The following is a 26,653-nucleotide window of genomic DNA, read 5'->3' on the forward strand; positions in this document are numbered from 1 at the left end:
TATTGAGGCTTTGTCTTCAATGTAGTGCTGTTGAGAGGTGGTACCTTTAAGAGGTGATCAGATCATGAAGATGGATGGATTAGTGTATGTCTCTTGATACCAGATTAGTTCTCATGAGAATGGATTAGTTCCCAAGAGAGTGGGTTGTTATAAAATGAACCTCTCATGTGTTGCCCTTTTCCCTTCTCATGTACCTGCTTTCCCTTCCATTTCTCTGCCATGTTTCGATGCAGCATGAGGCCCTCACTAGAAGCTACCACACTTGACCGCTCAAACTTGAACTTCCCAGCCTGTGGAACTGTGCACTAAATAAACCTTTTTCTTTATATAAATTCCCCAGTCTCAGGTATTCTGTGATAGTAACACAAAACAGATGAAGACATCCATTATTTAGGTTTCCAAAATTAGTTGTATAAGTAGAGGAAAGCAGTTACATGAAAAAATTATCTGCGATGTATAGTATGAACCAATAATGTAGTGCAATTACTGCAAAAGCTAACCCAGTCTTGTGCTGGATTAGCAAAACTTTGGGTCTACAGTGTGGAATGAGGTTGTTGTGCTGTGCCTGTAATATGGTAGGCCATACATGAGTGTTGTATTGACTTTTGGGCAGCACAGTGTAGGAACAACATTAGGGTGTGTTCGACAGAAATCATGACACATTACACACTGCTTGAAGAAGCTAAGAGTGCTGGTTTTTAAAGATAGAAAGAGGTGGAAATGGAGGCTTAGATAGGTTTTAGGTTTTATAAATTGTCCAAGATGATTTTATTGGTTCTTAGCAGATCCAATTCTCTGTTCTCAGTTCTGGATTCTTTCTACTCATCACATTCTGTTCTTCTAGAAAATAAAACCAATGCTACCAAGTAGAAGTTATTAGGAAACAGATTTTCACTCTGCAGAGAGTTTTTAATAATTGATGTTGTCCTCTAATATAAGGAACTGCTTTGGGAAATAATGAGGTTTTTGTTACAGGAGAAATTGAAATAGACATAGTATAACTGCCTTATTGGAGATGGGGTATGTTTTAAGGGATAATTGTGAGTTCAACTATGTCAGAAACTGAGCTGAATAAGATATGGAGGGCAATTAACCATATCCCTCTCTATGTCTGTTGTCCTGGTTAATTATTAATAATGCCCTTTTTTCCCACTCTGGGTGTCCCATTTTTGGTGATAAAATTTCTGGCTGCCTTCATTATAAGGTTTTTTCCAACTCTGTAAGTATGCTGAATGAAAATTATTTCAACGTAAATTATATTGGTTTACCGTGTGAAATCAAATCTTGGTGGCAATATGTGGAGTCTTGGAGAAAATCACTTAAAAATATTTTTGAAATGGAAAATTTCAAACACTTAGAAATGTAAAGAGAATGGTATAATGAACTCTTATGTACCTATCACACAGTTTCACAGCTATCAACTCATGGTCAATTCTATTTCATATGTCCTCCATCAGCTTTTTCCCAAATAATTTTGAAGCAAATTCCGAGCGTCATATCGTGTCATCCATAAGTATTCAGTATGTGTCTTTATAAGCTATGGACTCTCTTTGTAAACAACTTTAATATCATTGACACACTTTAAAAAAAATCAATGCTAATCCTTAAATCTTTTATTACTAGTCATTATTCAATTTTTTTGGTTGCTATATATATACACACACGTATACATATGTACATACATATACAAACATACATATGTAAAATGTGTGTGTGCTTTACAGTTGTGTGGATACTGATTGTGTGCACATTGCAATAGGTTGATATGTCATTTAGCTCTCTTATTTGCAGTTATCTTGTTCCCTTATTCCTCCTTTTTTTCTTTGTCTTTTTCTCCTTTTCCTCCTCCTTGTTTTCTTCATATTCTTCTTCTCTTGGTTCTCATTTCTTTGCCTTCTCTTCATTATTTTTTTCTGTCTTCTTTTTCTTCTTTGTTTTATATTTATTTGTAAAGAAGCTGGGCCATTTGTTCTCTAGTTTTCCACAGTTTGATTTTGATGATTTCATTTCTGTGGTGTCATTTGATGTGGTAGTTTGATGTAGAGGCTTACTCAGGTTCAGGTTTTGTTTTGTTTTGGTTTTGGTTTCTGGCAAAGACTATCTCACAGGTAACATATTCTTTCATTAGAGGCATATAATATGGCAACCTTCAGTCGTCTTTGCTTAGATCCGTTAATTTGTTAAGTGTTGCAAAATGGTGATATTCTGTCATTTCTTCTTCATTTATTAGTTGGAATACTTGTGTAAAGAGTTTTTCCTGATCAACTATTTGGTAATCCTGAGTACAGGTTCCTTTAGGAAGGATAGGATAAATTCTTTCTTTTTCTTTATTTTCCAGTTTTCAAAATAATGTGTAGATCTTTCACATCTTCTGAAGACAACTTGATTTGTTAATATATCATTAACTCCTGGGTTTAAAATAATGTGGTGTGTTTTAATTCATTACAGTTATTGTTACTGATGCTTAAATTCATTCGTCTTTGACCAGGAGCCTCTGCATGATGGCTCTTCAGGTCTTGTTGATCTGACCCCCAAAGCCTTTGATAGTTTCTTGCTTTCTGGCATGACCAGATGTTTCAGGCTCATCTTGTACTTTTTAAACTCTGGGCCTCAGGCCAGTCTTTTCAGTCTTTGTCCCCTCACCCCTCATCAGCTGTAACTCTTGTGAGAAATTGCTGTACTCTGCGAAAATGTCTGGCTGGCCGTAGTGAGTTGCCAAACCAGACTCTCCCAGGGCTCAGGCTATGCTTTTTGTTTGATTAATTTGGTACATCAAGCAGCTTTAATAGCTTGAACCATTCTCCTCTATATTAAGTAGCTTTGTTTGTTTGTTTTGTTCCTTTATTTGCCTTTTGGGCACAGACCTGCTGCCTTCCTTTACTAGTTGTAGGATAGAAATAGAAATACCAAAGCCTTATCTTATGGCATTGATCTTTAGTGGCCCAGACTAAGTGCTCTCTTCTTGTGGGGTTGTCATTTAACAGGCAGAACTGTCAGAGATATGATTTTATAAAATCACATAGGGTCATGAATAGATATCAAAAATTTCATTTCTCCAGGAGAAACATATATTTCTTCATTGAACAGCCAAGCTTCCTGCCTTTGTTTGGTTCCTGAAACAGAAGACCCTGAGACAAAAATTTGAGTACATATACTTCACTGGAAGATGATACGGTTTGGCTGTGTCCCCACCCCAGATCTCATCTTGAATTCCCATGTGTTGTGGGAAGGACTTGTGGGAGGTAATTGAATCATGGGGGTATGTCTTTGCCATGCTGTTCTCGTGATGCTGAATAAGTCTCATGAGATCTGATGGTTCTATAAGGGGGAATTTCCCTGCACAAGCTCTCTCTTTTCCTGCTGCTATCCATTGTAAGATGTGACTTGCTCCGCCTTGCCTTCTGCCACGATTGTGTGAGGCTTCCCCAGCCACATGTCACTGTGAGTTCTCCTTCAAACCTCTTTCCTTTGTAAATTGCCTGGTCTCAGGTATGTCTTTATCAGCAGCCTGAAAATGGACTAATACAGTAAATTGGTACCAGTAGAGTGGGGTGCTGCTGAAAAGATACTTGAAAATGTGGAAGTGACTTTGGAACTGGGTAACAGGCAGAGATTGGAACAGTTTGGAGTGCTCAGAAGACAGGAAAATGTGGGACGCTTTGGAACTTCCTAGAGACTTGTTGAATGGCTTTGACCAAAATGCTCATAATGATATGGACAATAAAAGCCAAGCTGAGGTGGTTTCAGATGGAGATGAGGAACTCATTGGGAACTGGAGCAAAGGTGACTCTTGTTATGTTTTAGCAAAGAGATTGGCGGCATTTTGCCCCTGCCCTTGAGCTTAGTGGAAATTTGAACTTGAGAGAGATGATTTAGGTTTCCAGCGGAAGAAATTTCTAAGCAGCAAAGCATTCAAAAGGTGACTTGGGTGCTGTTGAAAGCATTCAGTTTTATAAGGGAAGCAGAGCATAAAAGTTTGGAAAATTTGCAGCCTGACAATGTGATAGAAAAAAATCCCATATTCTGAAGAGAAAATTCAAGCTGGCTGCAGAAATTTACATAAGTAATGAGGAGCCGAATGTTGATCCTCAAGACAGTAGGGAAAATGTCTCCAGGGCAGGTCAGAGGTCTTTACAGCAGCCCCTCCCATTACAGGCCCAGAGGCCTAGGGGTAAAATGTGGTCTCATGGGCTGGGCCCAGGGTCCCTGTGCTGTGTGCAGCCTAGGGACTTGGTGCCCTGCGCCCCAGTTGCTTCAGCTGTGGCTGAAAGGGAACAATGTAGAGCTTGGGCCATGGCTTCAGAGGGTGCAAGCCCCGAGCCTTGGCAGCTTCCATGTGGTGTTGAGCCTGCGAGTGCACAGAAGTCAAGAATTGGGGTTTGGGAACCTCTGTCTAGATTTCAGAAGTTGTATGGAAATGCCTGGATGCCCAGGCAGAAGTTTCCTGCAGGAGTGGGGCCCTCATGGAGAACCTCTGCTAGGGCAGTGCAGAAGGGAAATGTGGGGTTGGAGCCCCCACACAGAGTTCCTACTGGGGCACCGCCTAGTGGAGCTGTGAGAAGAGGGCTACCATCCTCCAGACCCCAGAATGGTAGATCCACTGACAGCTTGCACCATGTGCCTAGAAAAGCCACAGACATTCAACACCAGCCCGTGAAGGCAGCTGGGAGGACGGCTGTACCCTGCAAAGCCACAGGGGTGGAGCTGTCCAAGACCATGGGAATCCACCTCTTGCATCAGCATGACCTGGGTGTATTTACCCAATGCCTGTACCCTCATTTTATCTAGGAAGTAACTAACTTGCTTTTGATTTTATAGGCTCATAGGTAGAAGGGACTTGCCTTGTATCACATGAGACTTTGGATGCCAAAATGAGTTAAACCTTTGGGGAACTGTTGGGAAGGCATGACTGGTTTTGAAATGTGAGGACATGAGATTTGGGAGGGGTCAGGGGTGGAATGATATGGCTTGTCTGTGTTCCCACCCAAATCTCATCTTGAATTCCCACATGTTGTGGGAGGTACACAGTGGGAGGTAATTGAATTGTGGGGGTAGATCTTTCCCATGCTGTTCTCGTGATAGTGAGTAAGTCTCATGAGATCTGATGGTTCTATAAGGGGGAGTTTCCCTGCACAAGCTCTCTGTTTGCCTGCTGCCATCCATGTAAGATGTGACTTGCTTCTCCTTGCCTTCTGCCATGATTGTGAGGCTTCCCCAGCCACATGAAACTGTGAGTTCTCCATTAAACCTCTTTGCTTTGTATATTGCCCAATCTTGGGTATGTCTTTATCAGCAGCATGAAAACGGACTAATATAGGAGGTGATCTCTGGAAGCACAGTGAGGGGGTGGGGAAGAGAAAGAGAGGGAGAAAAGCCAAAATAGGGTGCATTGAAGAGTAGGTTATTGCTGTTGTTAAGTGGGGTTAAATTTCACTCACAACCCCCCAGCTATGTGAAAGTCACTTCAGTATTGTGCCAGGGAAGGGCAAGGAAGTTGTTTACACATCCACCCTCATCCTTCATTCTTAGTGTCATTCACTTCCAAGTAGTCCAGCCTTTTTATATACTGGCCAAGCTACCTTCTAGGCCAGGTAATGCCCTTATGCAGACAGATGCAGTTACTGGAGCTGGATGGCCACGATTTCTGGCAGTGGTTCTTTCTCAAACTGAGGTTGGGGCTCGGGACGGGGGAGGAGGTTATTTTGCTCTGCAAGGAGCATTTGGTAAATTCTGTGGACATTTTTGGTAGTGACAACTGGGGGAGGGAAAAAGTGCTACTGGCTGGCATCTAGTGGGTAGAGACCAGGGATGCTGCTTAATATACCGCAGTTGATATGGTTGCCCCCTACAGCAAAGAGTTATCCATCCCCAAATGTCAGTAGTCCCATGGCTTAGAAACTCTGTTTTACAGGAATTCAGAGCTGCAGGTGACCTCTGGGTGGGAGGACGAAGGGAGTATGGTGGGTCACCATGGCATCTGCTACACTTCTCAGGTACACCCTGAGTTTCTTGCTACTCTGCTTTTGCTCATGATGTTCCCTTTGTATCCTCATTTCCAAATCCTTTTTATTCTTTAATTTTTTTGGTATATAGTCTATATGCTATATTTTTTCACTTTTTATAAAGGAATATATTAATGTATTTTTAACTTTTTTAGAGTTTTATTGTCTAATTCCCAGTCCCAGTGCCACTTCTTCAATGAAGTCATCTGTTAGATCCTGACTAATTCCTGTATTTTCAGAATTTGCATGGTGTGTTATTTGTTCATTTCTTGTGATGCTAATACATTTTTACTTTGTGTTATATTTTTCTCTCAAATTGTTATTTTAAAGGATAACATCTGCCTTTTAAAAATTGGAACAAATTGTACTATGAGCATCTGTCAACCCTTTATTTAATCTATCAGTTGTTAACATTTTGCCATGTTTTAGAAGTCTCTCTCTACTCACATGTATATGTGTATGCTGATATAGATATATAGTTTACAGTATCTATCTCTAAATCTTTGAGTCATTTTAAAGTAAGTTGCAAATATTTTCATACTTCACCCCTAAGTACTTCACTACATATCTCCCAAGAAAAGAACATTTTTCTCCTATAGAATCTCAATGCCATGATCGTACTCAAGAAATGTAACATGGTTACAGTAGCATCTTATGTGTGGTCCATATTTATATATACCCAGTTGTCCATTAATATCCTTTTAGCTTTTTTTTCCCCAGATCTGTGATCCAGTGAAAGATCATTCATTATGTTTACTGGTCACACTTAAAAAATGTTTTAAATTTTTTTCTTTAATCTAGAACAATTCTCTTACCCTTTTCTTTTTGTTTTTGGTTATTCATGACATTAATGATTAATGATTTTGAAGAGTCTGGGGCTGTTGTTTTGTAACATATCCCACAGTTTGGTTTATCTGATTTTCTCTTCATGGCTGTATTCAGTTTAAACATATTTGTCAAGCTTTTAAAATAAGTGATGTTATATACTTCTCAGTGCAGTTACCACAAGGCCCATGATATGTTTCTTCCATTGTTGCTGCTGCTTGACCACTTGTTTAAATTAAGTTGGTGTCTACCAGTTTTTCTCATTATAAAGATACCTTTTCTCAATTATAATGAATTAGTGATCTGTGAAGTGACACTTTGGGACTGTATCCTGTTCTGAAAAACATTTTGCCCAGTGTTTTTAGTATCTTGAATCAATACTACAAGCTTTATTGGGGCAGAATCTCCTAACTCTTTTTCTGTCAGTGATAGTACTTAACATAATGTATATGTTTATTGAGGGATTGAATGAATTAATAAATGAAAATTTTATCTTTAGAGAATGAGAAAACATCTTGATTTATCCTGCCAGTTTAACCAAAATCTTTACAGTCACATGTTCTTTTTCTTAAGCTTGTTCAAGTATAGAATAATTCATTACTGTTTTTTTCCTATTGCTTCACATCTCAGGGTTTTTCATCGTTTCCTCCAAATGGCAATGTCTCTTTTTCTTATCAGTAAATACAAAGCTACTTATTCTGTATGTTTAAACCAACTTTACAACATCCATCTCACTACGATATTTCATTAAAAGAAAAATAAATGTAAATACATAGTGTTCTAGGAGCTACACCTAAATCAAGGGTGTGTGAATGTGTATATGGGTATGTAAAAATCAAGCTTACTTGCTAAATTTTCCCATGTGTTTTTTTTTTTCAATGTTTTACTATTTCATGACAAGGATCATTACTGATTTGTTTTAAAATTATATTTAATTCTGAACTACTTTTTAAAACTACAACAATCATAGAAAGGTTGAAAAAGCTTACTTTCTTTTTTATAGTGTCACTTGCATTGTAGTTATTAAAGAGTTGATAACAAATTGCAGTAATGAAACAGTTTGTGAATATGCATTAGAAGATCACTAAGACTAAAATTTTCTGCAGTAGAATATTTATTGCTCAATAAAGTAATGCTAATTTATAGCATTTGGCTTAAAATATTGTTGTTTTATGCACCGAAATAAGTATAACAAAAATACAAGGTTAAAAGTTCATTTAAAACATATTACATCTGAAGATGGACAATACCCCTTTCTGAATTAGTCTAATTTTCTAAGAATCAACAACATGTATATTATCTCTGATACACATAAGAATCACGTAGCTTAATTTCCTGAAAATTGTCTTATTATTAACCACTGAAAGAACTAGGCATATTTAACCTGGAGAAGAGAAGATTAAAAGAAGACCTGACAGTCATCTGCAGATGGTTTGGGGACTATCGTGTAGAATAATGCTTAGGGTAGAACTAGTGTTAGTGGGTAAAAGTGATTTGTAGCTATATTTTCTGTTTCAATATAAGAAAGAACTTTTTTCAACGGGTAATAACTGCCAAGGAACAGAGTGTGGTATCTAATGAGGCAGGGAGGACATTTTACATGGAGATAGTCATGGAAAATTAAGTGACCTTTCTTACCTTCCCTTCATTCCCTTTGTTTCCTTCTTTCCTAATCAGTGTTTCCTGTAGATCTGTGCTGTCCAATATAGTCGCTGCTAGCCACATGTGGTGATGGAGTCTTTGAAATGTGGCTAGTCTGAATTGAGATGTGCTGTTAAGTGTGAAATACACATCAGATGCTAAAGTTTATATTTAAAAATATAAAATATCTCACTGATAACTTTTATATTGATGACATGTTGAAATGGTGTTATTTTGTATATCTTGGCTAAATAAAATATAAAGGTTACATAACTTTAATTTATTATTATTTTAATTATTAGCTTTTTTTTTTTTTTGATGGAGTCTTGTGCTGTCGCCAGGCTGGAGTGCAGTGGCTCGATCTCGACTCACTGTAACCTCCACCTCCCAGGTTCAAGTGATTCTCCTGTCTCAGCCTTCCGAGTAGCTGGGACTACAGGCGCGCACCCCCACACCTGGATGATTTTTGTATTTTTTAGTAGAGATGGGATTTCATCATGTTGGCCAGGCTGGTTTTGAACTCCTGACCTCAGATGATCCGCCCGCCTCGGCCTCCCAAAGTGCTAGGATTACAGTCATGAGCCACCGTGCCTGGTCGTAATTATTAGCTTTAATTACCAGTTCTCGGTAAAAATGAGTAAACCCTGCACCCTATCTCTCTCATTGGTTATAATTTAAAACCATAGTACCTAAAGAATACATATAGGAACTGCTTGAGGACTCTGAAAAGTAATTATCAGACATACTAAGAAGAATTAAAAACTCAAAGATTAACCCATATGGAGGTCATTTTCTTGTGTTTTAAAAAATTTGTTTATCTTTTCTTTCCATATCTCCTGGTTTGGATCCTAGGACATCCTGGACCCTGGCACTATGCACTGGGCAAGGACAGAAAATTCTCCAATGAAAACCCTCTCCCAGGTCAAAGACATAGAAAGGGGGACTCTTCAGGATGTAATCTTTTTTTTTTTTTTCCCCACCAACTCTTCTGTCCCTAAGGCAGGCAAGCTCTAGTGATGAAACAGGACTCTTGCAGTAGCCTCTTAGACTCTTTTCTTTTGGGGTTTCTTCTCCAGATTGACACAGTAATGGAAAGTATATAAAAACATGGGGAGGGAAAAACTCCCAGTTTCAAGCCAGAGTACCAAGAAAAGGTGCCACTGGGAGGCAGAGTACGGGGGAAATCACAGAGAAGAGGGGCTGGAGAAAAGGATCCTTTAATCTGTGTGTGAAGTCTCAGGCTTATCCTTGAGCTTCACACATGGAACCGGACAGAATCAGTATAGCAAAGTCTTTGAGAACTGAGCTACAGCATAGAACAGTGCCCAGACTAGCCTCTGGGTGGTGCGTACTTTGGGAAAACCAGAGTAACATTTAAAGGCTTTGAAAACTATTCTGATGAATCAAGTCCACAGAAGATGGTTTAGTGCTTTCACTCTGAACCTAACTTTATGCCAATTCATTTGGCAATTAAGTGAAATGAACACATTCCTTGAAAGAGATAAACTATCAAGATTCACTCAGAAAGAAATAGATTATCTGATTAATCCTATATCTGTTAAATAAATTGAATTTATAGTTAAAAAAAAATCTTTCACAAATGAAATGCCAGACCCAGATTATCTTGGGTGAATTCTACCAAACATTTAAGACAAAAAGTCACCAATTTTATGCAGTATCATCCAGAAATTGAAAAGGATACAACAGTTTCTATCTTACTTTATGAGGCTGACATTTTTCTGATATCAAAATCAGTCAAAGAAAGTAGAAGAAAACAAACAAACAAACTATAGGCCAGTATCCCTCATTTGAACAAAGAAGTAAAACTTTCGAAAAAAATTAGCAAATTGAATTTAGCAACATATATAAAATACATACATATATATGTATACAACATACATTATCTATGTATGTATACAAGTAAAATAATATATCATAATCAAGCAGGTTTTATTCTGGGAATGAAAGCCAAGTTCAACATTTGAAAATCAGTCTATGCAAGTCTCCATATTAACAGACTAATACAAGATAAACTGTATGATCATATCAATGGATGCAGAAAAAACTAAAATTTAAAATCTGTTCATAATAAATACTCTTAGCTAAATAGGAATAAAAGGGAATTTCCTCAGCCTCAAACTTATAAAGGACATCTACCCAGAACCTACAGCTTAATATCATACATGGTGAAAGACTGAATGCTTTTCTTCTAAGACTGAGAATGAGGCAAAGATGTTCACTTTCCCAAATCCTATATAACATAGTACTGGAAGTTGCAGGAAGTCAAGAAAAAGAAATAAAAGGCATATGGATTGGAAAGGAAGAGATAAATCTACCTAATTTGCGTATAATGATTGTCTATGTAGAAAATCCCAACGCATATTCAAAAAATCCTAGAACTTACGAGTTTTTTAAGGTTACAGGATGTAAGATCAGCATAGGAAAATCAATCCTATTTCTTTATACTAGCAATGAACAATCAGAAACAGAAAGTTAAAAAATAGTACCAATTATAATACCTTCCTGCCAAAAAAATGCTTAGTTATAAATCTAATAAGGTATGTTCAGTATCTATATGTAGATAAAGGAATTGAAGAAGACCTCAATAAATACAGAGATATATAATATATTCAAGGATGGGAAGACTCAACATAGTTAAGATGTTTTCCCTAATTAGTTTTAATTAGTTTCCTAAGTCAATTTTCCCTAAATTAATGTACACTATTTAGTGTAATCCCCATCAAAATCCCAGCAGGATTGGGTAGATATTGACAAGATGATTTTAAAATTTACGTGGGAAGCAAAGAATTAAAATAGCCAAAACAATTTTGGAAAAGAACAATAAAAATGGAGGAGTCAGACTACTCAGTTTGAAGACTTATTATCAAGGCAGTGTGATATTGGCAAAAGAAGAGCCATAGATCAATAGAACAAAATAGTCCAATAATAGATCCATATAAATATGGTCAATGATTTTCCACAAAAACGCAAAGGCACTTCAATGGCAAAAGGAGTCTTCTCAGCAAGTAGACATCTACATGCAAAAAAAAGGACCTTGACTTATATTTCAAACCATGTTCAAAAATTGGTGAATCACATTCTTAAATGGAAAATTTCAAACCATAAAAATCCAAGAAGTAACCATAGAAGGAAGGCTTTGTGACTTGGGCTGGGCATTGAGTTAGATACAACAGTAGAAACATAATCCATAAAAGAAAAAAGTTGATAAATTGGATTTCACTGAAGCTTAAAACTTTTGCTCTGCTGAAGAGACTGTTAAGAGGAAGAGGAGGACAAGAAGCAGTAAGAGAAAATATTTGCAAATCATGTATCTAACAGAGAACAAATTTCAAGAATATGTAGCTTTCAAAAGTCAACATTAAGAAAACCAACAACAATAAAAAAAATGGGGAACAGATCTGAACAGATACTCCACCAAGGAATATATACAGGTAGCAAATAAACACATGAAAAGATGCTCAACTTTATTAGTCATTAGGAAAATGCAGATTAAAATCATTATGAGATGCCATGATGTACCTGTTAGAATGACTAAAATCAATGACAATAATAACAAAATTGACCATATTAAATGTTGGCACGAATGTGTAGAAACTGGAACTCTCATGCGTTGTTGGTTTGCTAAATGTAATAGTCACTCAGGAAAAAAGGTTGGCAGTTTGTTTTATGGTTAAAGATACACTTCATCATATGACCTAGCAATCCAGTCTTAAACATTTATCTAGAAATGATAAATGTACATTCACGCAAAACATGTACATATATGTTTGTAGCAGCATCATTCATAATCATCACAAACTGGAAATCACCTACATGTCTTTCATTGGGTAGATGGATATACAAACTATGGTACATCTGTACAATGGAATATACTAGTAGGCTATAAAAAAGGAGCAAGCTATTGATACATGCAGCAATTTGAGTCTCAAATGCCTTATGCTAAGTGAAAGAAGAAGCTGGTCTCAAAAGGTTACATACTGCATGATTCCATTTATATGGCATTCTGGAAAAATGCAAAACTGAAGGGGCCAAGAGCAGGTCAGAGGTTTCCAGGAATAAGGAATGGTCGGAATATTTAAATACACAGGGATAGCATGAAGACATATTGGAGAGTGATAGAATTGTTCTGTATCCTAATTTTGGTGATGTTTACACAAATCTCTGCATGTTATACAACTCTTATAGGTGTACAGAAAAAGATGAATTTTACTGTGTATAAAGTTAAAAAATAGTTTATAATTTTTATGTCACCTTTTTTCTTTTTACTGTTTGAATGTGGCTACTGGTAAGTTTAAAATTATGTATGTGGCTTGCATTATTATTTCTATTACATAGCACTGCTTCAGATATTAGAAGTGCAAAGAAGGATTAGGTGTGGTCCGAAGTCTAGGAGAGGGATATGGCAGAAGGAAGTCTTCTAAGAAGAGGAGGCAAATTTAAATGACCTAAGTTTAGCCTCTGCCCCCTACTTCCATCCTTTGTTCTACAGATTTTGTTTGAGAGCCTAATTCATGTAAATATGCCAACTCTCAGATGTAGTAATTCCTTAGAGTCTTTTTCCTTGATATTGGAAATTAAACTCTACCACTCAAGATGAAAAGAATGCTGTGCAATGGAATAATTAGTGGCATCCTTGCATTTGTAGGCACAACAGCCTACATTGCTGAGGCAGTTGACAAGTTCCTTGACAAACTTGTGATGAATGTTTAAGTTCATATTATTATTGGTTAGACATTATTGTTTAAATTATTGCACCCAAGATTGTTTATTGTTTATAAATTGTCATAAAGGGAGGTTTCCAGAAGGATGCCTAGCCAGTATGTTTATAATTTGAAGTTAGGAGTGCCAACCCAAAATTGGAGTAGAATCTAAGAATATCATGATGGACTTTAAATAGGTAAATCTAGCGATACTGAAATATAATACAGATAAATTTAAAATTTCAAAATGGATTCTAAAATTTAGTTGTCCCAGTTAAGAAGAGGGATATGTAGCTTAGCAGTGGTAAATACATAAAAATGTTAGGGCTTTTAGTTAATAAGAAGCATAATAGGAGTCACTACTGATGAGGCTGCCAAAAAAGCTATTTTAACTTACAATGCCATTTATCAATAGAAGTTTAATACATAAATTAAGGCATGGATTTTTGTATTTGTTTCTGTGCTCTTTAGAACACACCTAGAATCTTATCTTGAGATCTGGGTGTTATCCTCTAAGAGAGCTATAGACAAACTGGTACATATTCAGAGAGGAGAGAGCCAAATGATGAAGGAAATTGAAACAAGTCAGATGAGGAATAGTGAAGGAGACTGGGATAGTAAGCCTGTCTAAGAGGTGACTCCTAGTGGGGTTGAAAGATAGGTCACGAGAACTGCCTTCAAATAATTGAAGGGCTGTGATATTACAGATAAATTAAACTTGTCCCATAAAGTTCTCAGAACCAGCAAATGGAATTTTCAGAGAGATATTAAATTTCAGTGTAAGGACACACTAAGGGTTAGAGCTAACTCTTGGAAATGAGTCACCTCTTCAAAGTTTTTCGTAAAGCTCTGAAATGGTTTGGATATGTGTCACCTCCAAATATCATGTTGAAATGTGACCTCCAGTGTTGGAGGTGAGCCTAGTGGGAAGTGTTTGGGTCATGGGGGTGGATCCCTCATGAATGGTGTGGTGCTGTCCTTGTGATAATGAAAGAGTTCTTGCTCTGACTTCATGTGAGATCTGGTTGTTTAAAAGAGCGTGGCACCTCCTCTTGCTCTCACTGCCACTCTCATCTTGTGATGTGCCTGCTCTCCCTTCACCTCCTGCCATGATTGTAAGCTTGCTGAGGTCTTTGCCAGAAGCAGATGCTGGCACCATGCTTCCTGTACAGCCTGCAGAACTGTGAGCCAATTAAACCTCTTTTTATAAATTATCCAGTCCTCGGTTAGTTCTTTATAGTGATGCAAAAATGGACGGACACAAACTCTATTGCTTGAACTTACTTTTTGTTGAGACTATCTCCTTCAAACTGGCGTTTCCACAAAGTTCTTGTCTGACTCTCACTTCCATACTTGGAGTTTCAGTCAGTAATCATTTAATGCAGCAACTGATAAGAATAATCTATCATTGGCAGAAAACCAGTCATTTACCTTTTTCTTTTTTTCTTTTTCAAGTTTCATTTTAGGTTCTGGGGTTACATGTGCAGGTTTGTTACGTGGGTAAATTGCATATCACTGGGGTTTGGTGTACAAAAGATTTAGTCACCTAGATAGTGAGCAAAGTACCCGATTGGTAGGTTTTTGACCATCACCCTCCTCTCACCCTCCACCCTCAAGTAGGCCCCAGTGTCTATTATTCCCCTCTTTGTGTCCATGTATACTCCAATGTTTAGCTTCCACTTACAAGTGAGAACATGTGGTATTTGGCTTTCTGTTCCTGGTTAGTTTGGTAGGATAATAGCCTCCAGCTACATCCATATTGCTGCAAAGGACATGATCTCATTCTTTTTTATGGCTGTGTAGTATTCCATGGTGTATATGTACCACATTTTCTTTTTTTCTTTTTTTTTTTTTGAGATGGAGTCTTACTCTGTTGCCCAGGCTGGAGTGCAGCGGCACAATCTCGGCTCACTGCAACCTCCACCCCCTGGATTCAAGCAATTCTCCTGCCTTAGCCTCCCAAGTAGCTGAGACTACAGGCATGCGCCACCATGCCCAGCCAATTTTTGTATTTTTTTGTTTAGTAGAGACGTGGTTTCGCCATGTTAACCAGGCTGGTCTCGAACTCCTCACCTCAGGTGATCCATCTGCCTCAGCCTCACAAAGTGCTGAGATTACAGGTGTGAGCCACTGCGCCTGGCCTATGTACATTTTCTTTATCAGATTCACTCTTGATGGGCATCTAGGATGATTCCAAGTCTTTGCTATTGTGAATAGTGCTGCAATGAACATATGAGTATATGTGTTTTTTTCATAGAATGATTTATATTCTTTTGGGTATATACACAGTAATGGGATTGCAGGGTTGAATGGTAGCTCTATTTTAAGTTCTTTGAGAAATCTCCAAACTGCTTTCCACAGTGGCTGAACTAGTTTATGTTCCCACCAACAGTGTGTAAGCATTTCCTTTTCTGTGCAGCCTCACCAGCATTTTGTTATTTTTTGACTTTTTAGTAATAGCCATTCTGACTGATGTTAGATGGTATCTCGTGGTTTTGATGTGTATTTCTCTAATGATTAGTGATTGTATTAGTTGTATTAGTATTGAATTGTTTCTTAGAAACTATGTTTTCCTGGCAGTTATTGAAACTGATAGACAAAATAGTATGATAATATTTCACTGGTGAGGAATAAGGCAAGTATCCTGTGGACAGGCTGTGTTCCTTCTGTAATTAGGGAGTAGGAGATATGGTCCACTCTGCATATCTGGTAAGTGAGCCTTCCTGAGATGGTGCTGATACCTTCTAAAAATTGTCAGCTGCTAAGGCACAAGCGTGTAAATAAAATCTACTTTGTATTTAACATTTCTGTGATTTCATGTATGTGTCATATTATAAAGCACTGTTGATGTGCATTTTGAAAGGAAGGAACTTCTGCCCCCATTGCTCCCACTGTTATAGCCTGGCAAGTTTCAGGGAGTAATGAAAAATAAGACTTGAAACTCTTATTTTGTTGTTAGGTGGTTGTAACACTTCTTCCTTTTTTTTAAACCTCGCCTTATAGCACCTCTGATCCTGCTTTTATTTCTTTGTTCTCCTGCATACTCTTCCATTTTATGAAAAGTTGGAGTAAGCAGTGTCCAGGTAATCTGTACTCTGTGTTCATATCATCTGCTCCAGGGTGAAATAAAGGAAATGTGATGTTATTGCTCTTCTATATGATTTGTGTTGGTCTTTTCTCTACTGTCTCTGCCTTGAGGTCAGGTACTATGTTTTCTACTTCCTGTATAACTCCCCAGGTGTCCAGTATGCACATCTGTGCGTTGTGGGTTTTTAATAAATGTTCTTGACTGATTTACTGACTGTTCTGCATAGCAAGAGAACAATGCCACAGTTTATTTCAAAGAGGCTGTACAGTATTGAGGCAAAGTGTTTCACAGTTCTCTGAGGTTGAAGGTAGGAGCCTGAGAAATTCTGGAACATAACTATGTGAGATTCTGAAAGCTATTTTAAGTTACTTCTTTGTTTTGAAAAATATTTATATAATGTTTTTATTACATGTAATGTAGTAAACTTCCTCCCCTTTTAGTACATATCTTTTCCTTAAAAAAAAAAAACTTTATTATATATTCAAATACTGGTTGGTTGCCTTAAAATTTATTGAAAAATCAGCTGTAGAAGTAATAAGATCTAGTGTTTGGCAGCACAATAGGGTGAGTATAGTTAACAGTAATTTATTGTGTATTTCAAAATAAAGAGTGGAATTGGAATTTTCTTAACACAAAGAAATGATAAGTGCTTGGGGTGATGGATATCTCAATTTCCTTAATTTGATTTTTATACATTATGTGCTTGTATGAAAATATCACATATACCCCATAAATAAGTACAGCATTATATATCTATAATAGTTAAAAATTTAAAAAGTCTGTCTTTAACATTATCCAGTCGTGTCCATTAAAAAGACACATTTTGTAAAGTTCCTTAAAAATAAAGATCTTTGCAAGTATTTATCTTAAAAAGCATTCTTTACTTTTATAAAGGGCTCATTGCAGAGTTCTTTTAAATGCAGAAACTCTTCACATTGCATTTTTAATATGATTTTATTTATAAAAGTAACTGTGTCACAACTATTCAGTAAACACTTTGTAATTTATTTAAGATCAGGTTTTTTTAAAGTGGGACAATTTTTTGCATGAGATTAAAAATAAAAACAGCTTTATTGAGATACAATTACATACCGTGCAGTTTACCCTCTAAAGTATACAATTCAGTGGCTTTTTACAAATATAGTCACAAAGTTGTACAACCATCACTAATTTCAGAAAATATTTATCATCACAAAAAGAAAGCTTGTACCAGTTAGCAGTCGCTTCCCATTCTCCTGTTCCCCATTGTCTGGCAACCATTAATCTACTTTCTGTCTCTATGAATTTTCATATTCTAGACATTTCATATAAATAGATTCATACAATAATAATACAATAAGTAGCCTTTTGTGTCTGGCTCATTTCACTTAGCTTAATGTTTTCAAGGTTTATCCACATTGGAGCATTATATCAGTACTTTCTTTCAAATTTGAATAATATTCCATTACATGTATAATGTCACAATTTATTCATTCATCAGTTGACGGACATTAGTTGTTTCCACTTTTTGGCGATTGTGCATAATGCTGGTACAAACAATGTGCAAGTTTTTGTGTGGACATGTCTTCACTTCTGTTGGGTATATGTATACCTACGAGTGGATTTGTAGGGTCAGATGGTAGCTCTATGTTTAACCTCTTGAGGAACTGCCAGACTGTTTTCAAAAGTGACTGCACCATTTTGCATTCACACCAGCAGTGTATAAGTGTTCCAGTTTCTTCATATTTTCATAAACACTTATTATTATATGTCTTTTTGATTATAGCCATCCAAGTGGGTAATTAAGAGCTATCTTACTGTGATTTTGATTGCACTTCCCTGTTGGCTAATGATCTTGAACATCTTTCTATGTATTTATTTGACATTTGTATATCTTCTTGGAGAAATACCTGTTCAGACCCTTTGCCCTTTTAAAATTGGGGTATTTGCCTTTATATTGTTGACTTGTGAGATTTCTTTGTTCTGGGTACAAGTCCTTTATTAGCTATGTGATTTGCAAAATTATCTCCCTGTGGATTGTCTTCACTTTCTAGATAGTCTCATTTGAAGGCCAAAATTTTTAATTTTGATGAAGTTTAATTTATCTATTTTTGTTGTTGTTGCTTGATTTTGGTTTCATGTCTGAGAAAGCATTGCCTAGCCCAAAGTTATAAAGATTTATTCTTATGTTTCCTTGAAGAATCTTGTAGTTTTTTGCTGTTACACTTAGGTCTTTGATTCATTTTGAGTTAATTTTTGCATGATATGAGGTAGGGGCCCAACTTCATTCTTTTGCCTGTGGCTTTCCAGTTGTCCCATCACCATTTGTTGAAAAGATGCTTAAAAAACCCATTTAATTGGGATAAAATATACTTAACAAAATTTACCATATTAACCATTTTTAAGTGTACACTTCAGTAGTGTACTTTTATGAAACACACTACTTCAGGTGTTTCGTATAAGTGGAGTCATTATAGTATTTGTCTTTTTGTGACTATTTTACTTGATGTCGTCAATATTCATTCATGTTGTAGCATGTTTTAAAATTTTTCTCCTTTTAAGGCTGAATAATATTTCATTATGTGTACACACACACACACACACACACACACACACACACACACATATATGTCACATTTGGTTTATCCATTCATCTGTTTGTGGACAATTGGGTTGCTTCTACTCTTTGGCTATTGTGAATCATGTTGCTGTGAACAGATGTGTGCAAATATCTCTGATAATCTCCTTTTAGCTACTTAGGGTATATTCTCAGAAGTAGATTTCTGGATCATATGTTAATTTTTAATTTTTTTGTGTGGAATTACCACTGTGTTTCCTATAGTGGCTGTACCATTTTACATTCCCACCAGCACTTCCAAGGGGTTCCAATTTCTTCATGTTCTCACCCACCCTTGTTATTTTTTTGTTTGATAGTAGCTCTTCTAATGAGTGTGAGATGATGAAAATACTTTTTTGCCCCATTGAATTGTGTTGGCACCCTTGTCAAAAATCAGTAGGCCATAAATTTGAAGGTTTATTTATGGACTCTGAATTCTGTTCCATTGATCTGTATTCCTATCCATATTCCAGCACCACATTGTCTTCATTGCTGTAGCTTTGTAACAACTTTTATAATTGAGAACGCCTGCAAATTATTTTTAAATATTTCTTTGGCTATTTGCATCCCTTCCATTTTCATATGATTTTTAGGATTGGCTTGTCAATTTCTGCAAAGAGTCCAGCTAGGGCTTTGGTAGGGATTGCATGGGATCTACAGATCAACTTGGGTTGTGTTGCCATTTTAACAATAGTAAGTCTTCTAGTTGACAAACATGAGATGTCTTTCCATTTATTTAGGCCTTTTTTAATTTCTTCAAACAATGTTGTGTAGTTGCTAGTGTACATTTCTTATACTTCTTTTGTTAAGTTTATTCCTAAGTATTTTGTTCTTTTTGATCTCATTGTAAATGGAATTTTAAAAAATTATTTTTGGATCGTTAATTACTGTTGTACAGAAATGCGGTTGATTTTTGTACATTTATCTTGTATCTTGCAACCTTGCTGAAGCTGTTTATTAGTTCTCATTGTTTGTGTGGATTCATTGGGATTTTTTACATGCAAGATTTATGTCATCTGTAGATAGAGATAGTTTTGCTTTTTTCCAATGTAGATACATTTTGTACCTTTTTTTTTTTTTTTTTTTGCCAAATTGTTCTTGCTAGAGCCTCCAGTATAATGTTGAATAGAATCAACCAGAATGGATATTCCTTTAAGTAGATTTTTTCAATGTTTACCAGTTTGGAAATATTTATTACTAGCAGTGTTCCTTTGTGAACTTGAAAATGCAGCCATTCTTCTATAGCAGCAAAAGTGATAAAATTTCTTTTATTGGAATTTAGCATGTTATTTATTTTTAGAATGTCAAGGGACAATAGATCCTAGATTGGCATTTTTCAAAACTTTGATATCTTTGCTCTGTTAACTTTTTGATTTTTTTTCCTAAAGTAACTAAAGTAAGCCAACTATAGGACTTTTAAAAACACATCTCTAAAGTATGTTCCTTCCTAAAGAATATGCTTGCTGTGTATATTTGAAAGAATGAGTAATCAGGACATTCATATTATCTCTACTTGTGCTTTTTAGCCAAGGCTTGAGTTAATGCCTTATAGTTAGCACTTTTGAATTTTATGATTTATCATAGATACAATTGATCATCTGAGATGATGATAGTGGCTAGGGTGAGAGGAGGTGGTTGTACTACTTTTGATAATTTAATTTTATACCTGTCTTCTGAAGGATACATTTTCTTGTTTAAATTTCTTCCCTACAGAAGCTCCAGGAGTGACTTTGCTATGACTTCTTCTTCTTTTTTTAAATAAAAATATATTTTATTTTTAGTTTTTTTTGTGTGTTGCATTTCTCACATTTTATTTTATTTTTATTTTTTATTCCAGTAGGTTTTTGGGGAACAGGTGGTGTTTGGTTACATGAATAAATTCTTTAGCGGTGATTTCTGAGATTTAGGTGCACCCATCACCAGAGTAGTGTAGACTGTACTCAGTGTGTAGTCTTTTATCCCTCACCTCCTCCCACCCTTTCCCTCGAGTCCCCAAAGTCCATTAAGTCATTCTTACGCCTTTGCATCTTCAAAGCTTAGCTCCCACTTATGTGTGAGAGCATACAATGTTTGGTTTTCCATTCCTGAGTTACTTCACTTAGAATAATCGTCTCCAATTCCATCCAGGTTGCTGCAAATGCCATTATTTTGTTTCTTTTTATGGCTTAGTAGTATTCCATGATGTGTGTGTGTGTGTGTGTGTGTGTGTGTGTGTGTGTGTGTAGCTACGATTTCTTTATCCGCTTGTTGACTGATGGGCATTTGGGCTGGTTCCATAGTTTTGCAATTGTGAATTGTGCTGCTATAAGCATGCGTGTGCAAGTATCTTTTTTGTATAATGACTCCTTTTCCTCCAGGTAGATACCCAGTGGTGGGATTGTGGATCAAATGGTATTTCTACTTTTAGTTCTTTAAGGAATCTCCACACTGTTTTCCATAGTGGTTGTACAAGTTTACATTCCCACCAGCAGTGTAAAAGTGTCCCCTTTCACCACATCTGCGCCAACATCTATTATTAATATTTTTTTGATTATGGCCATTCTTGCATGAGTAAGGTGGTAATCGTATTGTGGTTTTGATTTGCATTTCCCTGATAATGGGTGATGTTGAGCATTTTTTCATATGTTTGTTGCTATGCCTTATTCTTCACTGAAGATTTTTTTCAGCACTTAGACGTTCAGTTCAGAGAATAGAATTTCTTTAATTTATTGAGTGTTTATTGAATATATTCTATTTGTGCTGTACTTTCCCCTGTCAGAAACATTAAATAAGTATAAAAACATGTCTGTTCTGTGGATGCTTACAATTTAATTAGGAAGATCAATTATATGTACTCACCTTGTACCGCTGTGTATTTGTGGCTCTGGGTCTATGTCTTATATCCCTCACTAAACATGAGCTCCTTGAGAATAAATATCTTTGTATTGACACAGCGTGTCACAGTATCTCACAGGTAGCTTGTGTTTATTATGATTTTTTAAAATTAATAGAGCAATAAAACAATATAAGACTACTTACAACTAAATACTAAAGTGAATGGCGTAATTAGTCAGGATTTTAATTTCAGAAGTAACAATGATCTGTGTGTTCTGGATTTATTAGGGTAGGCTTCATACAAGAGACAATTTAGTGGGCTCATAAAGGATGGTAAGAACTGAGCAAGGAGAGAGATATAGTATTTGATGTCATAGTATTTGGAGGGCATTGAGCAGATCATATTGACTGGAAGAAAAGACAGGCTTGTAGATAAAGAGAAGGGTGGATATCAGTTTGAAAAGTTTGCTTTTACTCCATTTGATATTAGAGACTCATTTAAGTTTCTTGAGTTAGGAAGTTTTGGGACAAAATAGCACATTAAGAATATTTACTTGGTGATAATATGTATTATGGACTGGAGGGCAGCTAGTATTAGGAGATCATTTTAAAAGGTATGATAATGATTGAGTTTCTTTAGTCTGTCAGCTTTTAATAGCAGGGTTTTTTTTTTGTTTGATCTTTAATGCCTATCATAGTGGCTATGGCAAAGTTCAAATATTTATTCGGTGGATGAGTGAATGTATGGACTAGGTGATCTGGGCCTGGAAGGGGCTGTTAACAGTAGGAAAAATCCATATGAGTGACATTTTGGAGGAAAAATTGAGATGACTTATTTTCTAAGAGTATACAGGGTGTATGAAAGGTTGAAGATGACACTGAAGTTTTAGCATGGAATCAGGGAACGAGAGGAGTGAGAAAAGGGAGAGTCATCATCATGTTTTAGTCTTGCTGAGTTTGACATTGAAATGCCTAGTACATAGATATTTAAGGACTCAAATGAGAACTGAAGTTTAAATGTTTACATTTGGATAAAATTTTATAGATACTGTTTGAGCAGTAAAAATGATTGGATTGATAAAGCTGTTATGTATGTATGTGTACAGAGGTGGTATACATGTACACAAGTATACATATTTTTATACATTACAACTCAATATGTGTGTTAGATTGTCGATAAACTAATCTACTTGTTAGTATTAGCATAATGATAAGAGCTGATTCTTGGGATGAGCAGAGGAAAAAAGGGAGCTACAGAAGAATTCAGAAAAGAAACAGGTAGAAGAACTTGCAATCTAAATTTGCTAATGAGACTTTGTAAATTTGTCTTATGTTTCAAAACAAAAGTAATACTTCCATTATCACATGTTGAGAACTTACTATATGCTGGACACTGCTAGGCATGCCATCTCTTTTTATCGTCACAATAAATCTGTGACATTAGTACTATTATATCTACTTCTTACTGATGAAGAAACTGAAGTCTAAAGAAGTTAAAACTTGCTCAAGATCACTTGAGCTAATAAATAATGAGGAGACCTTGTGGATATAAATCTAAGTTTTTGTGAACTATAAGCCATATGTTCTTTCCATTATACAAAAGTATGTATGTTTAATTTCTGCAAGGCAAAGACTGTGTCTATACAGAATCAGTCTTCGTAAAGGCTTACTAATTAATTAGCAGGCAGTGATTGGACAGTAATGTTACCTGTAAAAATAATCAGTACATATTTTGGATGTGGCTGCTTCTACTTTTCTCCTTGGATATTTACATTCACAGTGTACTTGGAGATAAAGCTTTTTTGATTGCTTGTTGTGGATGTTAAATTGAAAAAGGATAGCAGGCCTGGGATAGTGGCTCACACCTATAATCCCAGCACTTTGGGAGGCTGAGGTGGGTTGATCGCTTGAGCTCAGGAGTTCGAGACCAGCCTGCACAACATGGCGAAACCCCATCTCTAATAAAAATACAAAAATTATCTGGGCATGGTGACATGTTCCTGTAGGCTCAGCTCCTTGGGGGGCTGAGATGGGAGAATTGCTTGAGCCTGGGAGGTCGAGGCTGCAGTGAGTCAAGATGACACCGTTGCACTCCAGTCTGGATGACAAAGTGAGACCCTGTCTCAAAAAAAAAAAAAAAAAAGATATCAGTTTATTTGAAGAATTAATCATCTGGAAAGTGCTTTTCAAATGGTTTTCTTAAACTAATGTAAATTTCTTTTAGAAGTTTTTCTGATACAGTCTTCAGAATATTCATACTTAGAAAGGAAATAAAAAGGACCTGTCATTTTCTTTTATTTCAGGGGATATCATTTTCAATGCCCAATACCCAGAACTGCCTCCCGATTTTATCTTTGGAGAAGATGCTGAATTCCTGCCAGACCCCTCAGCTTTGCAGGTGAGTACTGCAGACTTGCTTGAATGATCTTTCTTTGGTGAAAGGAAAACAAAATTGGCTTTCAGCAGTTGCTTAACAGATAGATTTGTCACACATCTGCATTTTTTTCCCACCCCTCTTTTCTCTGTCCTGTGAAATAGATGGAACTCTTTATGTGCCATAGTAGTTAAATAAGAGGTTTTTTTCATTGCTGTTTAGTTTCAGGGTATTTCGAATTAATGAAAGTCTCTAGCATATTGGTTGAAATATTTTTACTTCAGTTTAAAGAGACATGTTGAAAATATTTTCTTTGTTTTAACATAATATATCATGCCTGCAATCAATTTTCTAATGTTTACTAACACTTCATTACAGGGCTCGTTAGGAGAGTGTTTCTTGGCTCTTCAAGGAGCCGTTTTTATATAGAAGTGAAAGTGGCAAATTTGGACTTGTATCCGCATTATCTCAGTATCTCAGTATTGTTATCAGAAGGGTAAAGACCAGATTAAGTGTTCTTTATCAAGCAACACCAGAAACTTTGTAGTTGAAATAAAATGTTTCTGGAATTAAAGCAGAAATATTCACCATTAGGGAAAGGGTGGTGGTACTTGTTGGAGCACATATGCTTTAGTAAGCATACGTACTTACTAAAAAAGTTGTGTGTTTTGCATGGTGGATGGAGAAAAACACATGCCATTTTGTTTAAATGGTTCTGACCAGACAAAATGTCTCTTTTTATTTCTTCTCAAATTTGAGTTTGGTATGATACCTATACTAGAAGAGGTTTTATAGTTGTTCAAAACTATACTCTTAGTTTCGTTTCCTGGAAATTTTTTGTCTTATTCAAGTTTTATTGTTAAAAGTTTTGATGACTTACTTTGAACTCTTGCCCTGCTTCCACCCTTTAAAGGTATTAAACAGGAAGTAGTAACCCAAACCTAAAGTATTGTCTTAAACATTAGAACATAGCTGTAAAAATATTGTTGGCAAGAGTAAGGTGGATTCGTGGTGAAGTTTCTAATAATTGAACATCAGCTGTAATTTTTTTAATTAAAAAAATCTGAGTTCAATATGGCCCCTTTAGATGCTGTGTGTTACGTATTCACCCCATATTAAAGCTGAGAGTCTTAAACCTGGAAAAAAAAATGACACAGAGATTTCACCACAGACTTCTTCTGTATTAAGTCTGCCCAGAGGAGGGTGGCATATGCTGGATGCCAAAGATGTATTCCAGGCTAAGTGCCTCAGGAATTTAAAGGTGGTCAGAAAAAGCTTTGTAGTTGAGGCGAGACTTGTACTCATTCTTGAAGAATGGAACAAAAGTGGGAGGTATGACAAAGAGTATTTCAGGTGGGGGAATGACATAAGCACATTGGGGGAATGACATAAGCACATTGGAAGTAGCTAGGATTTGTCTAATGTATTTCAGAAGGCACTGACAGGTTTGCTGAAATGTAAGTCAATATAAGGAAGGGATCAACAAGGTTAGAAAGGTAAATTGGGAGAAGACTGTGGGGCACATTGAATGCTGGGCTAGGAGCCATTGAAGGAAATGATGAAGGGAGAATCATCTAATAGCAGTGTGGTCAATATAATGGAATAAGGAGAGATCGAAGACCAGAATTGAGGATAGTTGTAAAAATTCAGTGGAGGGAGAAAGGGCTTTGAGCTAGGGTGATGCAAGAAGAAACAGCATAATGGAAAGAATAAAAAAGTCATGTTTACAACTTCTTTTTTTTTGAAATTGCATTTAAAATTCATAGCACATATCTTTAATATTTGGCAAGTATTGTGTAAGTGTAGAATTTAAATGCTAGAAAGGATCTTAAGATTCATTTTATTCTAATCTTCCATTTTAATATTGAGGAAATTGACCTAGATTTATATAATTCTGTGTCAGACCTGATATTATAACACCACTCTTAAGATGTTTAGTCCCTGAGTGAAGTTATCACAAATGTTTTGAGAATATAGCTGAAAAAGAATAGCCGAAAAAATCAAAGCACTAGATCTAAGTGAAAGATTGCAAATCTAGGGGAACACCTTCTCCTTAGTGATAGTTCATCTACGGCCTTGGGTAGACTACCCAGGGCTTCTTCATGGATCAGCGGGCTGAGCAAGCCCAGATAAGCAACCAGAGCATACCCTCCACTAGTTGGGCGATGTCCAAATAGTTCTGAAGGTTGCTCTTGATGGTTATTGTTGTCTGATTAAAACACCAGACAGGTTAACTACAAGGCCTGATCCCCAGCAGACATTTCTCTGAGTGTAGCTTGTCTCTGAAAGATTTTTCACTCACTTGTTAACAGATTTTGGTTTAATTCTTGGATTCAGTTCAGACATTTTTCCCCTTCCTGTAGTGCTCAGAGCACAATCATTAATAACCTGACTAGTCTACATATGGTTCTGAATGAAGGGGGAATACAAATTTCATCACCCATGGAGTGGAAAACAGAATGCCTAGATTTCTTGGATTTTTCCTGAAGTATGCCTTGCAGAAGGGCATGAGTATATACCCTTAGAACCTGGGAGTGTAGTCTGAAGTAGTTCCTGTGGCAGGTGTGGAATTTCTTTGAAGTTTCTGGGTTT

The 26,653-nt window shown here is 36.4% G+C and overlaps 1 protein-coding gene across 14 annotated transcripts in view; it reads left to right on the forward strand.

The window, feature by feature from the left end:
* The window catches only part of BABAM2 (BRISC and BRCA1 A complex member 2), a 450,193-nt gene that overhangs the window by 75,294 nt on the left and 348,246 nt on the right, over positions 1-26,653 (forward strand). For all 14 annotated transcript variants that reach the window (NR_137438.2, NR_137440.2, NR_137439.2 and 11 more), the window contains one exon: positions 23,991-24,085. Coding sequence is in view for 10 of the 14 variants with exons in the window: in NM_001329112.1 (NP_001316041.1) it covers positions 23,991-24,085 (95 nt within the window). In the remaining 4 variants the exon portion in view is untranslated. The remainder of the gene's footprint in view (positions 1-23,990; positions 24,086-26,653) is intronic.

The sequence above is a fragment of the Homo sapiens genome, chromosome 2, assembly GCF_000001405.40.
Source record: "Homo sapiens chromosome 2, GRCh38.p14 Primary Assembly".
Taxonomy (NCBI): domain Eukaryota; kingdom Metazoa; phylum Chordata; class Mammalia; order Primates; family Hominidae; genus Homo; species Homo sapiens.